This window comes from Homo sapiens, chromosome 20 (assembly GCF_000001405.40).
Source record: "Homo sapiens chromosome 20, GRCh38.p14 Primary Assembly".
In the NCBI taxonomy this organism is placed as follows: Eukaryota; Metazoa; Chordata; class Mammalia; order Primates; family Hominidae; genus Homo; species Homo sapiens.
The window spans coordinates 4,079,529-4,096,086 of NC_000020.11; the positions used below are offsets into that span (position 1 = coordinate 4,079,529).

The window sequence follows — 16,558 nt, forward strand, 5'->3', positions numbered from 1 at the left end:
AATTTTTAAGTTTTCTATTGTTCTCTTTGTTTTTTCTTTCCTGCCTTTCTACGGGACACTTGAATGTTTTCATTCATTTTGATTTATCGATAGTGTTTGTGAGTGTATATCTCTTGTATACCCTTTTCAGTAGTTGTTCTAGATATATAGCTATCTATATTTATATCTGTCTATTCAAATATCTATCTATATTCGTATCTCTGTCTCTGTATGTATTCGATTGTGGTCAGAGAACACACTCTATGTGATTTCAAATCTTTCAAGTCACACTATCTATGAGTATTAACATTTAACTAGTTCAAGTGAAGTGTAAAACCTACCTTCCTAACATCGCATTACTTTCTTCCATTTCTAATATAATTGTCTTAAATATTTATATTTGTTGAGAACCACATCATACGGTGTTATAATTTTTGCTTTATTTATTTATTTATTTTTTGAGATAGAGTCTTGCCCTGTCACCCAGTCTGGGGTGCAATGGTGCGATCTCACGATCTCGGCTCACTGCAACCTTCGCCTCCCGGGTTCAAGTGATTCTTCTCCCTCAGCCTCCCGAGTAGCTGGGATTACAGGTGCATGCCACCATGCCCAGCTAATTTTTTATATCTTTAGTAGAAATGGGGTTTCACCATGTTGGCCAGGCTGGTCTCAAACTCCCGACCTCGTGGTCCGCCTGCCTTGGCCTCCCAAAATGCTGGGATTATAGGCATTAGTTACCACGCCCGGCCTTTTTTTTTTTTTTTTTGAGACGAAGTCTCACTCTTGTCGCCCAGGCTGGAGAGCAATGGTGCGATCTCGGCTCACTGCAACCTCTGCCTCCCGGGTTCAAGTGATTCTCCTGCCTCAGCCTCCCAGGTAGCTGGGATTACAGGTGTGCACCACTACGCCCAACTCATTTTTGTAATTTTAGTAGAGACGGGGTTTCACCATGTTGGCCAGGATGGTCTTGAAGTCCTGACCTCAGGTGATCCGCCCGCGTTGGCATCCCAAAGTACATTTTTTACTTTAACTGTCAAACATAATTTAGAAAAATCAAGAGGCTCATGCCTGTAATCCCAACACTGAGAGGCCGAGGCAGGAGGACTGCTTGAGCCTAAGAGTTCAAGACCAGTCTGGGTAATATAGTGAGACCCCATCACTGTATCTAAAGAAGAGGCCTGGCACGGTGGCTCATGCCTGTAATCCCAGCACTTTGGGAGGCCGAGGCAGGTGGATCATGAGGTCAAGAGATCGAGACCATGCTGGCCAACGTGGTGAAATCCCGACTCTACTAAAAATACAAAAATTAGCTGGGCCTGGTGGCGCGTGCCTGTAGTCCCAGCTACTTGGGAGGCTGAGGCAGGAGAATCGCTCGAACTCGGGAGGCCAAGATCACGCCATTGCACTTCAGCCTGGCGACAGGGCAAGACTCCATCTAAAAAAAAAAAAAAAAAAGAAAGGAAGAAAGAAAGAAAGAAAACTCAAGAGGATAAGGAAAGTCTGTTGTATTTATCCATATTTTTGTGCTTTTCATTGTTCTTTCTTCTTTACTGTTGTTCTAAGATCCTTCATTCAGCCAGGTGTGGTGGCTCACGCCTGTAATCCCAGCACTTTGGGAGGTCGAGGCTGGTGGATCATGAGGTCAGGAGTTCGAGCCCAGCCTTGCCAATATGGTGAAATCCCGTCTCTACTAAAAATACAAAAAATTTAGCCGGGCATGGTGGCGTGTGCCTGTAGTCCCAGCTACTCAGGAGGCTGAGACAGAAGAATCGCTTGAATCTGGGAGGCAGATGTTGCAGTGAGCTGAGATTGCACCACTGCACTCCAGCCTGGTGACAGAACGAGACTCTGTCTCAACAAAAAAAAAAAAAAAGAAAAAAGAAAAATTCCTTTGTTCATCATTTCCTTTCTGTTTAGACAACTTCTTTTTAGTCATTCCTAAATGGCAGGTGCTGACAACAAATTCTCCTGGTTCTCCTAATCTGAGAACATCTGGATTCCCGTCATTCTTGAATAATCTTTTTACTGGATATAGAATTCTGGGTTGAGAGTTCCTTTTTTTCTTTTCAGCACTAGAAAAGAAATGTGCCACTCTCTTCTGGACTTTAGGGTTTCTGATAAGAAATCTGACGTCTTTCCAATTATTTTTCTCCTGTAGGCAATGCGTCATTTCTCTCTGCTTTCAAGACTTTTTTTTTTTTTTTTGGCTTTAGTTTTTAGAAGTTTGGCCAAGATATGTTTTGATTTGAACTTCTTGGGGTTTATCCTGTTTGAGTTTCACTTAGCTTCCTGAATCTGTCGGTTCATGTCTTTTGTCAAATTTGGGACATTTTTAGCCATTATTTCTTCAAATACTTTTTCAAATGTAGATCCTTTCACCTCTCCACCTGGGTCTCTAGTGACACAAATGTTAGATCTTTTGTTACAGCCTCACAAGTCTCTTGGGTTCTGTTCATTTTTTTCTCTACTATTTTCTCTCTGTTGCTTGGATTGGGTAATCTTATTGTTCTATTTTCAAGTTCACTAATTCTTTATGCTGTCATCTCTATTTTGCTGTTCAATCCATCCATTGAATTTTAAATTTTGTTGATGTATATTTTGGTTCTAAAATTTCCATTTAGTTCTTTTTTTTTTTTTGAGAAGGAGTCTTGGTCTGTCGCCCAGGCTGGAGTGCAGTGGCGCAAACATCTCGGCTCACTGCAAGCTCCACCTCCTGGGTTTAAGGGATTCTTCTGTCTCAGCCTCTTGAGTACCTGGGATTAGAGGCAGGCACCCCCACGCCTGGCTAATTTTTGTATTTTTAGTAGAGATGGGGTTTCCACCATGTTGGCCAGGCTGGTCTTGAGCCCCTGACCTCAAATGATCCACCCGTCTCAGCCTCCCAAAGTGTTGGGATTACAGGCATGAGCCACTGTGCCTGGCCTCCATTTGGTTCTTTTTTATGTCTCCTGTTTCTTTGCTGAGACCCACGACTTTCTGTTCCTTTGCTGAGACTTTCTATTTTTGTGTGTTTTTTTCAAGGGTTTGTAGTTGCTCATTGAAGCATTTTCATGATGGCTGCTTTGAAATTCTTGTCAGACAATTCTAATATCCATGTCACCTAGGCACTGGTGTCTGTTGATTATTTTTCCTAATTCAATTTGAGGTTTTCTTGGTTCTTGGTTTGATGAGTCATTTTCAACGGAAACCTCAACATTTTGAGTTTCTGTTGTGAGACCTTGGAGCTTCTTTAAATCTGATTTAGCAGAGGCCTCCTCTGACTTGCTCTAGGGAAAGGGGCTGCTACTTTGTTCCTGTCAGGTGAGGTGAAGGTCCAGGTTCCCCACTCTGCCTCTGTTGACAGTCAGGGTCAGGGAAGGAGCGCCTCATCACTGTTGGGCAGTGGGTAGGGTTCAGGCTTCCTACTAGGTCTCCATCGACAACACCCTGGCTGGGAGGGGCAGAGTTCCCTTGTCACTGCTTCACATGTGACCTCCACTGATACTGTGGGGAAGCAGGATAGCCTTGTTACCGTTTGGCAGTTGCGAAAGTCCTGAGTCTCCACCAGGCTTCCTCTGAGACCACTGGAGAGGGGGCGGGGGAGAGGAGGGGGGCGGGGGAGAGGAGGGGGGCGGGGGAGAGGAGGGGGGCGGGGGAGAGGAGGAGGGCGGGGGAGAGGAGGAGGGCGGGGGAGAGGAGGAGGGGTGCTCCGTTACCACCAGCTGGGAATGAAAGTCCAGGCTTCCCATGTGGTCTCCACTGACACCCCTGGGAAGGGAGACCTCATTGCTGCCCAGCGGGATAAAAGTCCTGGCTTCCCACCCAGCTTTTTCTGACACTAGCCTGGCCAGGGGGAAGGAGATTGAAACCTCATGATAGCCTGAAGCCGTGAAGTCCAGCCTGAGCCTAGCCATGAAGCCGAGGCTCCCCACTCAGCCTTTGATGGTGCGGGTGGGGGTGGGGTCTTACATTTTTTCCTATGGTATTTGGCTGGCACAGAACGATCATTGTCTAAAAGTTTTCTGTTTTGCTAGGCCACTCCATCTTGGTCCTTTGGCAAGCAGAGCAGGATTTTCTTGGGCTTTTGTGGGGCATCTATTCCCATTGTTGTTTCCAGAATGCTGGCTTCTTTGCACACTGTCTGGGATATATGAGCCAAAAAGATAAACCCAGAGAACTCATTGCTGTGTCATTCCCTAGGCCCCAAAGTCCCTAGCTGGTTTGCCTTCTTCTCTCTGCTTTCAGATGCTTGTTTTATAGGCAGTATCTAGGGTTTTTAGCCATATTTACTGGAAAGAATAGGAAAAAACACATCTACTCCATATTTCTGAGAGTTGAGGTGTCATAGGTTGATTTAACCATGCCACTGATGCCTTTAGCTCTATCTGCCATGCAGCAGGTATCTTCTAGGTCCTTCATGGGGACCAGGCACTAGTTGAGGCCAAAGAGGAGACAAAGACTGACTCTGACTTCAGGAGCTCACAGTTTTGCGGGAACACAGGACTTTGCCCCAGGTAAGCTTGGATAGTGAAGAATAAGATGCTATAGAGGAAGGAATTACTTGAATGGCCTGGTTGGGGAGAGCTTCCTGGGAGGGTGAAAGTGGAGATAGAGTATTTTGGTAAATTTTAGAGAGGAGCTGCAGGAAGTACAGGTGCCAGGAGAGGAGCAGAGGTCCAGAGGGGTAAGTAGGGATGGCAGGAGGCAGCAGGGAGAGAGCTTGCCTGGTTGGGCCCTCAGGTGAAGCGAATGAGCCTGAAGGACACCATGCACAGGGGCTTGACAGTAGTATCTTCAGAACAGGAATCTGGGGATCAACTGTGACATGGCAATTGTGTGGGTGAGCAAAGATGGTGGCCTGGCCAGTGCAGTGGCTATGGGGTGGAGAGGAGAGAACAGGATCAAGAGGCATTTAGAAGGTAGAACTGATGGGTGTCTGGATTGATCTGGGGAAGAAAGAGAGAGGAATTAGATATGAGGCTGAGATTTCCAGCTGAGGTCTCTGGGGAAGAATGGTGCCATAAACACGCAGAGAGAGAAGACAGAGAGGGGAACCAATCTTTGGAATAAGAGGATGAGATTTTGGCCACTGGTACCCAGAGGCCCTTCTTCAGAGAATGATGCAATGAGACCGAGGTGAATATTTTCTCTGAGCACTGAAGTTTCAGATCAAATAAGCAACAGATTTCTGCTCTGTGAAAGCCCTGTAGTCGAAAGGCAGTACATTGCAAATTTCAAAGAATAAGGCACTATCCTCTACTTTTGAGAGAAAGAAATGGAAGTCACACGCCAAAAAGTTGAAGTCTCTCCTAGACTCAGATGTCCTCAGTCTTCATCACTCTCTCTGGGTCTGATGGTCAGGAGGCCTAATGCTCAAGCTGTAAGGCGAGGCTCCTTAGAACCACTTGAGTCACCTGTCCGAAGCTGAATTGCATGATGGCTTCATTCAGAGCCACCCAAATCATTCTGGCCAATCACGGGCAACTGTGGATGGTTCAATGGCACCTTCCTTTCAGAGAATAGAAGTCCCAGGAGGGCAGGGGTCTTTGTCTGATTTGTTCACTGAAGAATCCCAGGTGTCTAATAGGCTGCTGGTATATAGTAGATGCTAAATAAATACTGGTTAAATAAATGAAGGATTGCAATGGGTTTGGGGGAAGTCTGAGGCCAGGGTTAGGGGTCACACCAAGGTCAGGTTTTTAAAGTATAGGATCCCATTTTTGGTACTGAAACGTGGTTGGGGTATTTAGGGGTCTGCCTATTGGGACAAAGGTTTCTTGGAGGACATCGCACACCTCTCAACCTGAGGACTCCTTATGGGCTCAGGGGAGCAGCTACTGGCTGAGATTTTTAAAGCAGGGTCTCAGTCAGTGAAAGCCTGGCTTGCTTTCCCTGAAGAGAGCTATGCGCGTGCCTGGCCATGGGGCTCACAGCTGCCCCCTGGTGGTCAGCCACAGCCCCCTGCCAACCCTTGGGCGTGGTATTTTTCCAGCCTTAAGTCAGGCAGCAACGGCACATCCTAACGCAGGGTCCGTCTGGTTCCCGGGCCCCAGGTGGCGAGGGAACAGGAATGAGGGCTCTCCGGCACTCTCCGCTTTGCCCTTGGCCTCCTTTTTTCATCAGGGAAGACTCAGGGGAGGGCCTGCGCTGTGCCTCTCTTCAGCATCTGTGAAGATTCTGCCAGCTCCCCAGCCCCGTGCTCTCCGAGGGCATTTTTGTGCACGCAGGGCAGATTCCGGATTCCAAGAACATCAGTCATGGAATGACCTCTCTCCGGCCCCTTGGTGTGACCTCACTGTCTTGCCTCCTCCACCTGCACGTTCTTTGCCAGCCTGTAGGTCCTATCGTGGGGACTCCTCCCTGACCTCTGCCAATTTGAAGTGGGAACTCAGATGAGTGCCTCTGACTTTTTTTTTTTTTTTTTTTGAGACGGAGTCTCGCTCTGTCGCCCAGGCTGGAGTGCAGTGGCGCGATCTCGGCTCACTGCAAGCTCCGCCTCCTGGGTTCACGCCATTCTCCTGCCTCAGTCTCCCGAGTAGCTGGGACTACAGGCGCCCGCCACCACGCCCGGCTAATTTTTTTGTATTTTTAGTAGATACAGGGTTTCACCGTGTTAACCAGGATGGTTTTGATCTCCTGACCTCGTGATCCGCCCGCCTCGGCCTCCCAAAGTGCTGGGATTACAGGCGTGAGCCACCGCGCCCGACCGAGTGCCTCTGACTCTCACAAGGGCTCGTGTCTTCAGTTCCAGGCAGGCCCTGGAAGGGCATGGGGCAACATCTGGGGCGCCCCCACGGCTGCCTCTCTCTCCCCCCACGGCCCTGTGCCCCTCAGCAAAGCTTCTTCAGAACAGCTCTTTGGACAGCAGCTCTCAGGGCATCTGTAGCTGGTGCCAGCCTACACCCCCCATGCAGCTATCATGGACAGCGAGGGCATAGGCTCTGGCCATAGGACCCCACAACCAGCACCACCATGTTCTGAGTTAATGGTGGGAATTTATCTCCCAGCATGATCTGACATGGTCTGACAGCAAGCCCATGACATTCTGCCTCCATGGTGTGGACACCTGAGGCAGATGGGTTGTATGTGGGTGGGGAGATAGCCCCTTTCATCGCAGGCAGGAGGAACATGCTTAGGGTACTACGCTGTAGGGTCAGGTCTTTATGCTTCTCATCATGCAGAGCAGGCTTAGGGGCTGTGTCTGCAGCCCCTCCCTGATTCCCAGGGATGAAGAGATGGGGTAGGCTCTCCGCAGCTCTGGGGAAGTTTTATTCCCTCTTCTCCCCCTCTCTCTGCACTTCCTTCCCTCTCTTGTGTTCCATCTTAGTCCATTTCTGCTGCTATAACTGAATACCACAGACTGGGTAAGTTATAAAGAAAATAATGTATTTGGCTCACGGTTCTGGAAGCTGGCAAGGCCAAGAGCATGACGCTGGTGTCTGACTGATGAAGACTTCATGCTGCTTTATCCCATGGTGGAAGATATCACATGGTGAGGAAGCACATGTGTGAGACAGAAAGAAAACTGGCCAAACTCATCCTTTTATCAGGAAACCACTCCTGGGATAACTAACCCATTTGACTGATAACGGCATTCACCAACCTTTTAAAGGCCCCACCTCTCAACCCTGCTACAATGGGAGTTAAATTCCAACATGAGTTTTGGAGGGGACATTCAAACCATAGCATGTCCCCACCTGATCCATGCGCATTCTTTGTAGACCAGTGGTCCCCAAACTTTTTGGCACCAGGGATTGGTTTTGAGGAAGACAATTTTTCCTCAGACGGGGTAGGGGGGAGGGGATGGTTTTGGGATGAAACTGTTCGACTTCAGATCATCAGGCATTAATCAGATTCTCATAAGGAGCGTGCAACCTAGATCCCTCACATGCGCAGTTTGCAGTAGGGTTCGTGCTTCTATGAGAACCTAATGCTGCTGCTGATCTGACAGGAGGCGGAGCTCAGGCGGTAATGCTCACTCACTTGCAGCTCACATCCTGCTGTGTGGCCCAGTTTCTAACAGGCCATGGATCAGTACTGCGGGAGCTGGAGACCCCTGCTGCAGAGGATCTGACTCTTTTTGGCCCTGGGAGGGAGTGGTTCACAAAAGAAAAAGAAAATTACAATAGTCCCCCACCTTATTGGCAATTTTGCATTCTGCGGTTTCAGTTAGATGCTGTCAATCACAGATTGAAAATATTGAATGGAAAAATTCCAGAAATAAATAATTCATGTTTTGGCCAGATGGGGTGGCTCACACCTGTAATCCCAGTACTTTGGTAGGCTGGGACGGGCAGATCACTTGAGGTCAGGAGTTTGAGACTAGCCTGGCCAACATTGTGAAACCCCTTCTCTACTAAAATACAAAAATTAGCTGGGCATGGTGGTGTGTGCCTGTAGTCCCAGCTACTTGGGAGGCTGAGGCAGGAGAATCGCTTGAACCTGGAAGGCAGAGGTTGCAGTGAGCCAAGATTGCACCCTTGCACTCCAGCCTGGGTGACAGAGTGAGACTCAGTCTCAAAAAAAAAAAAAAAAAGAAAAAGAAAAAGAAAAAGAAAACCAAAAAACAAAATGAGCAACTCCCATTTTAAATTGCCTGCCATGCTGAGTAGAGTGAATCATCCCTCTGTCCAGCACGTCCATGCTGCATATTCTTCCCGCTCATTAGTCACTTGGTAGCTGTCTTGGCTGTCAGATCAACTGCTGAGGTATCGCAGTGCTTATGTTCAGGTAACCCTTACTTCATTTAATAACGACCCCTGGATGCAAAAGTGGTGATGCTTAACATCATCACAACATAATTATTATTAACAATAATAACTGAGAATAAAATAGAACAGTTGTTATAATTGTTCTATTTTATTATCAGTTATTATTGTTAACCTCTTAACTGTGCTTAATTTATGCATTATACTTTATGGTGGATATGTACATATAGAAAAATCCATAGTATGTATAGGGTTTGGTACTATCTGCGGTTTCAGGCATCCACTGGGGGTCTTGAATGTATCCCCTGCAAATAAGGGGGGGGACTAGCGTTTCTGTCTTCACCAGGCCTAGATGTGTCTTGCCTGCCGAGGAAAGATGTATAGTTAAGATGTGACAATTATCTGTCAGTTGGTGGAGTTTCACCCACTTAGTTGGTCTTCTTACTGTATTTTGAGATATCTTTATTTACAGGAGGCAAAATAGAGGTCCTGGGTCAGTCCTCAGCCCTCCACCCCCAGCCTTTATGCCTAGGAGACTTTGAGTTGATGGGGAAAGATGGTTTCTGCCCTTGGGGGACCCACACAGGGTCCTTAGTATAGAGCCTGGCGCTCCACAGGGACCCGGTATTGAATATGGGATGGAGAGGAGCAAAGAGATCCTGCCAGGGAGGTTGTAGGAAGATCAATGGGTCACAGAAGCTACAGAAGGGCACACAGTAAGGCCGTGAGAGTGGGTAAAAAGGAGTGTGGGAGCTCTCACCTGCTCTGTGCTGGGATGTGGGTACTGGTCTCCTGGGAGTGAGCAGTTGGGCCCTCACCCAGTTGGAGGGCCCAACCACAACCACGGCAAATCCCAAAGGCCAGGAACAGGGACTAATGTGGGGTCCAGGGATAAAAGCAGATTTCTGAGATACAGAAAGCCCAGGGTCTGGCCTAAGGGGCAGCTGATATGCCCAAGAGCAAGTTCAAGGGCAGAGCAAGTTCGAGTGTACTGCAGACAGCCTTGGGACAGGGACATCCAATTTCATGGGCCAAGGAGAACAGTGGAAAGTCCAGGTAGTCAGGAGCCCTTGAAAGTCTAGAGGGTGGTGGGCTTGGTTGGGATGTGGATGGACATATATATATATGTATATACATATATACACACACACCATGGTGTGTGTCTGTGTGTGTATATATATATATGTGTATATATATATACACACACATACCTGATATGTTATACCTGACATATGTTATATACATACATACATATACATATATACACACACATATATATATCTGATGGTTTTATATATATAGGGAGGTGTGTGTTTGTGTGTGTGTGTGTATATATATATGTGTATATATATGTGTATATATATGTGTATATATATGTATATATATGTGTATATATATGTGTGTGTATATATGTATATATGTGTGTATATATGTATATATGTGTATATATGTATATATATGTGTATATATATGTGTATATATATGTATATATATGTGTGTATATATATGTATATATATGTGTGTATATATATGTGTATATATATGTGTGTGTGTGTGTGTGTGTGTGTATATATATATATATATATATATATCAGTTTGCCCTTGCTGGATAACAAACCACCCCAGAACTTACTGGCTTAATGCATTAACCATTTATTATTTCTCTAGGCTTTTGCAATCAGATGCTGGGTTGGCTGGAAGCTGGCTGGTATAGCGTGGCCATGCAGCAGGCTAGTCTAGGCTTAGTCACATAGTGATTGCAGGGTTTCAGGAAAACAAATGAAAACATGCAAGATCTTATAAGGTCTTTACTTGGAACTGACAGACTGTCACTTCTGCCAAACTCTTTTGGTCAAACAACTCTCAAAGCCAAGCCTCACTTGAAAGAGTTTGGGAAAAAGTTCTGATTCTTTTGTTTGTTTGCTTTAGAGACAGGGTCTTGCTCTGTCACCCAGACTGGAGTGCGGTGGCGTAATCATAGCTCACTACAGCCTCGAACTCCTGGGCTCAAGCAGTCCTCGCAGCTCAGCCTCCCGAGTAGCTGGGACTACAGATGTGAGCCACAGCACCTGGCAAAGTTCTGCTTCTTGATGAGAGATGTTACTAAATCATATTGCAAAGGGAGGGGTGGAGAATTGCGGCCATTTTTGCAATCAATCTAACGCAACACCCACTTGTGAAAGACAGAAACCTGGGTGACATCCTGAGTCCTTCCTCCCACTTCTCCGACATCCGTTACCTCACCAAGCCAATTTGATTTTCACCCCCCAAAACGCCATTCAACTTTTCCTATTGCCACCACCCCAGTCCAAGGAACTTGTCTACCTGGTCTACTCACATTTGCTGTAGCTGTGCTCTACTATCGTGGCCACATAGCAGCCTATAGGACTTCTTCAAAGTACAAGCCAGGTCCCATCATTTCTCCCTGCCCATACCCTTCAAAGACTCTGTATTAGTCCATTCGCAGTTGCAAGCAGAAGAAACAGGCTCTGATTATGGCAAAAAAAAACACAAAAAAACAAAAAACCTAATGGAAGGGTATTGATTAGCTCACAGAATATCTTGAAGACTGGACCCAGAAATCACGCAGGCACCAAAGGTAGCAGCTGGATAGCCAAGACCACGATGAAAACCATGCTGCTGGAACATCTGGGGGACACTGTGGCCATCACCACCATGTAGCCAGGCCCCAGGATGCTGCTGCTGCCACCACTGCCAGGATGAATAGTTCACTGTCCTTGGCTTCTTGTATCACTCACTACAGGCTCAAAGAGCTGGGTGGAAGCATCTGATTGGCTAAGCCTCCAGTTTCCATTTCATTTCTGTGCTGACTCGGTCAGTGGAGGATTCCTAGGAATTCCCAGGATGAGGAAAGATGCTGGAAATTCAGTTGTTCTCAACCTTTACTGTGTTTTGCAGGTTCCCAAAGCCACTGGGGGCTGGGTGGGTATCTTCTCTGGCACATGGCATTTCTGCTGTAATAAAGGTTCTTTTAGTTAAAAGTCACAAACCCCTTATGGTGTAAGTGATAAGGTGGTGGGGATGGGACCTTTGTTTTTGCAAAGCTGTAAAGAGGAAAAAGTTAGTCTGGGCCCCTGAAGGAAAAGACATGAATCATTAAGTGAAGAGCATGGCTGAATCCCTGCGTCATCAGGGAGAAACCAGAGGAGGCAAATGTGTAAGAAAGATTCCCCTGGGCCTGGGAAGGGGAGCCGACAGAGGATCCCAGCTGCAGGAGGTCGGGCCTCAGGACCCCTTAGAACTTCATGGACTGTCCCAGCCAATGTGAAAACCCTGGGCCATGTCTGTTCTTACCCGGGAAAGAGGAGGAGAGAGGCTGGCTGGGGTCAGCAGTAAACCGATAGGGGACTGAAATGGACACTGTGGGTGCCTCGCCCAGACCCCTTTGCAGGATAGGGTGCATCTGCGGCTGCTGTGCCTGTTGGGTCACAGGGGCCTTCTCTCTTCTCTAGGGAATTGCCCTTTGCCCAGTGGGAGTCACGCCCACTCCCACAGCCTGCAGCCTGTGGATGACTGACATATAAGCCCTGCTGCCTTGCAACCAAGTGAATCTTATCTGAGGTGCCGCGACCCAGTGTCCTTGTGGGGTCAGCCAAGGCTAGATACATTTCTGCCCAGCAGTGGGGGTGACAGCGGCCTCTCCTACCATGCTGTGAAGGCGAGGGCAAGGGAAGCAGCTGCCAGGCTCCCGGGGCCTCCCTTATCTCAGCCCCTACCCACCCACCCAAGTCCAGAATCGGCCTCACACCTGCCCTGGATTCCACTTCCTCCCTGCTCTTGGGAGCCAGAGAAAAGATGTCCCAGGCCCGTTGACTCTCTTTCGCCCTCTCGTGGGCCCGCTGAGAACGGTGGTGATTCCCATAGAATTTTTCCCTAGGCTGCTTGTCCAAAAGCGGCCCGTTGGGACTTAGGAAAGGAGGGAGAAGGGATCAGGGTGATAATTCGTAGCTGGTGAGATTGAAGGTAGTTTTCCAAGCAAAGGGTTTGATGGTTTTTTTTTTTTTTTTTTTTGAGAGAGCGTCTTGCCCTGTTGCCCAGGTTGGAGTGCAGTGGTGCAATCATGGCTCACTGCAGCCTCAAACTCCTGGGCTCAAGCGATTCTCCCAAGTAGCTGGGACCAGAGGTGCGTGCCACCATGCCCAGCTAATTTTTAAATTTTTCGCAGAGACGGGGTCTCCCTGGGTTTGGTGGCTTTACTGGGGGGATGTTTGGTAGTCTTCCTTAGGAAACCTTGGCATCATGAAGGCTAGGCCAGGAAGCTGGTCTGAAGGGGCTGCTTGATGCTGTGACTGATTTCTGTGGCCTTGAGCCAGCCATCATGTCTTTGTCAAGTAGAGAGAATCAGACAAGGTCCTGTAGCCTGGAGGTAATGGGTGAACTTAAAGTGTAATTACACATTCAAGAGAGCTTCACCATCTCAAATCACACTGATCTTGCCGCCTATTAAACTTCCACCAGACTTCTCATTTTAGCTATGCAATCTTGTATTTGATTATCTATTTTCTTTCCTGTATATACTCCAGCCTCTTCCTATGGGTCTTTCTGCTTCCACACTGCACATTGCAACCAGAACTCACTCACTCAACACCATTTGGCTATGACACTAAAAAGCTTTCAAGAATTTCCCACTGCACTTACAGTAAAGTCCAAATTATGTTCCATGGCCCCCAAAGACCTGCACGGGCAAGGTGTGGTGGCTCACGCCTGTAACCCCAGCACTTTGGGAGGCCAAGGTGGTTGGTCTCCTGCCTCAGCCTCCCGAGTAGCTGGGATTACAGGCATGTGCCACCCTGCCTTGCTAATTTTTTGTGCTTTTAGTAGAGACAGGGTTTCACCATGTTGGCCAGGCTGGTCTCGAACTCTTGACCTCAAGTGATCTGCCTGCCTCGGCCTCCCAAAGTGGTGGGATTACAGGAGTGAGCCACCACGCCTGGCCTTGTGTGTCTTCTTGACTGGGCCATGGGGTGCCCAGGTATTTGATCAAACATTGTTCTGGGTATTTCTGCGAGAGTGCTTTTGGATGAGATTAACACTTAAATTGTTAGACCAAGTAAAGCAGATTGCTTTCCCTAATGTGAGCCCTCCTCCAATCAATTGAAAGCCTAAATTGAACAAAAAGGCTGACCCTCTCTTGAGTAAGAAAGAATTCCTCCTGCCTGATTGCTTTCAAACTGGGTCATCAGCTTTTTTCTTGCCTTTGGACGTGAACAGAAACATCAGCTCTTCCTGGGCCTTGAAACTGCTGGTCTTTGGATAAGAATTACACTATTGGTTCTCCTGGTTCTCAGGGCTTCAGACTTGGGCTAGAATGAAACCATCAGCCCTCTTGGGTCTCTGGTTTGCCAACTCACTCTGCAGATCTTGGGACTTGCCTATGTATAGGAGATATATATGTATATATGTATATGTATATCTCCTATTGGTTCTGTTTCCCTAGAGAACTCTAACACTCAATAGTATTCTCATGATTGGTTTAAATTAGTGCTGGCCAATAGAAATATAATGTGAGTCACATGTGTAATTGACAGTCTTCCAGTAACCATATTAAAAACATAAAAAGAAAGAGATGAAATTACTTTTAATAGTGTATTCTAGGCCAGGTGCAGTGGCTCACACCTGTAATCCCAGCACTTTGGGAGGCCAAGGTGGGCTGATCACCTGAGGTCGGGAGTTCGAGACCAGTCTGGCCAACATGGCGAAATCCTGTCTCTACTTAAAATACAAAAATTAGCTGAGCGTGGTGGTGCATGCCTGTAATCGCAGCTACTCGGGAGGCTGAGGCAGGAGAATTGCTTGAACCTGGGAGATGGAGGTTGCAGTGAGCCGAGATTGTGCATTGCACTCCAGCTTGGGCAACAAGAGCGAAACTACATCTCGAAAAAAAAAGTGTATTTTATTTAACCTAATATATTAAAAATATTATTATTTTGACATGAAACCGATATACACATGATTAAGTTACTAAATATTAAAAATATGCTGTGCATTTTATTCTAACAGCACATCTCAATTCAGACTAGTCACATATCAAATGCTCAATTGCCACACGTGGTTAGGGTCTATCATATTGGCCAGTGCACGTTAAGACCAATCAAGAAACATTACATGGGGCTGGGTGCAATGGCTCATGCCTGTAATCCCAGCACTTTGGGAGGCTGAGGCAGGCAGATCATTTGAGGTCAGGAGTTAGAGACAGACTGGCCAACATGGTGAAATCCCATCTCTACTTAAAATACAAAAATTAGCTGAGGGTGGTGGTACACGTCTGTAATCCCAGCTACTCGGGAGGCTGAAGCAGGAGAACCACTTGAACTTGGGAGACAGAGGTTGTAGTGAGCCGAGATCGCTCCACTGCACTCCAGCCTGGGCAACAGAGTGAGACTGTCTCAAAAAAGAAAAAAAAAATACGTTACTTAGGGCTGGATATATAAGTACCTTAAACAGAGTTGGAGCACTGTTAGTCAGGATATTGGGCATGAAATTAAGAGATGACACCCAGAAGTTCAATGTGTATTTGTTGATTGAATGAACACAAATTATTCCAAAATTGTCAATACCTCTAGACAATGAAAACTTCCTTTCTTCCTGTCTTCCTCTTTTTGCTCAATGTAACAAATGTAAGATTAATACTCACATACACACACACACACACGGCTGGTCAAGATGGACTGATTTATACTCCTACTTGAAACAACTAAAAACCTTGAAAAATGTATAAAACAATGGCTCTAAAGACATTGGACATTAGATACTGAAGGACAGTGATCCTAGAGAGATGGGAAAAAAATGAGTGAGCCCTACAATTGCCCCACCCTACTGCCTGGAGAGAATCTCCAGGCCATAATGCAGGGCAGTACAACCTGCCCAAAAACCTTAAAAGCAAGATCTGGAAGTATAAAACTGTTCCTAAGTAATCTAACCATATCTTAGAAAAAACTCAAGAAATTTTTAGACATGTGAAAATCAGAAAAACATTATTCACAAGAGGGAAAAATCAACTAAAACCAACACAGCAAAACACAGATAATGGAATTAGTAGACAAAGACATCAAAATCATTATTGTGACTACAGTTCATATGTTCAAGAAGATAGAGGAAAGCTCAAACATGATAATTAGAAACATAAAATATTAAGAAGATTCAAACCAAATTTCTAAGGATGAGCATTATAATGTCTGGGATGAAAAATACACGAGAGGATTCATGGAAGATTAGATATTACTGGAGAAAATATTAGTAAACTTGAAGACATAGAAATAGAAACTATCCAAAATAAAATGCACAGAGGAAAAAAAAGGCTGAAAATAAATGAGCAGATCATGAGTGAACTGTGAGATGACTTTAATAAAAAGTGTGTGCAATTGGAATCTCTAAAGATGACTGAGAAGAGGAGACTGAAAAGACATTTGAAGCAATAGTAGCCAGAATGTTTCCAAATATAATGAAAATTATAAACCCAGAGATCCAAAAGCCACAATAAACCCAAGCACAAGAGCTATGAATAAAACTATGCCAAATCGCACTATAATTAAATTTTTTAAAGCCGATGATAAAGAGAAAATCTTAAAAGTAGCCAGGAGGGGAAAACACACAAATAAACAAACAACAACACATAATGTATGGAGAAACATGACAGCAGATTTCTTCTTGGAAACAATGCAAGCTAAAAGACAGTGGATTAACATCTTTACTCAAAGAAAATAAATACATCTGTCAATCTAGAATGCTTCACTGTGTAAACACATTTTTGGAAACTAAAGAGAAAATAAAAACTTTTTTTTCAGGCATGCAGAAGTTGAAAGATTCATCAACCTCAGATCTGCACTATAAGAAATGTTGGCCTGGTGCAGTGGCTTACACCTGTAATCCCA

General features: G+C 46.0%; 5 annotated features.

Moving 5' to 3' along the window:
• Positions 2,709-2,908: an enhancer, noted in NCBI's record as "active region_17492". NCBI's record gives its function as "activates an Ori minimal core promoter by ATAC-STARR-seq in GM12878 lymphoblastoid cells {active_cell/tissue: GM12878}" and the evidence as "EXISTENCE:reporter gene assay evidence [ECO:0000049][PMID:35858748]".
• Positions 2,709-3,890: a biological region, named in NCBI's record as "CRISPRi-validated cis-regulatory element chr20.311". NCBI's record gives its function as "regulatory_interactions: RNF24".
• Positions 2,822-3,323: an enhancer, noted in NCBI's record as "H3K27ac hESC enhancer chr20:4062997-4063498 (GRCh37/hg19 assembly coordinates)". NCBI's record gives its function as "activates a minimal SCP1, AML or CMV promoter by ChIP-STARR-seq in primed H9 embryonic stem cells {active_cell/tissue: H9 hESC(primed)}" and the evidence as "EXISTENCE:reporter gene assay evidence [ECO:0000049][PMID:30033119]".
• Positions 3,193-3,890: a transcriptional cis regulatory region, noted in NCBI's record as "candidate enhancer chr20.311 targeted for multiplex CRISPR interference". NCBI's record gives its function as "positively regulates RNF24 gene expression with high confidence in K562 cells {active_cell/tissue: K562}" and the evidence as "EXISTENCE:mutant phenotype evidence [ECO:0000015][PMID:30612741]".
• Positions 3,324-3,823: an enhancer, noted in NCBI's record as "H3K27ac hESC enhancer chr20:4063499-4063998 (GRCh37/hg19 assembly coordinates)". NCBI's record gives its function as "activates a minimal SCP1, AML or CMV promoter by ChIP-STARR-seq in primed H9 embryonic stem cells {active_cell/tissue: H9 hESC(primed)}" and the evidence as "EXISTENCE:reporter gene assay evidence [ECO:0000049][PMID:30033119]".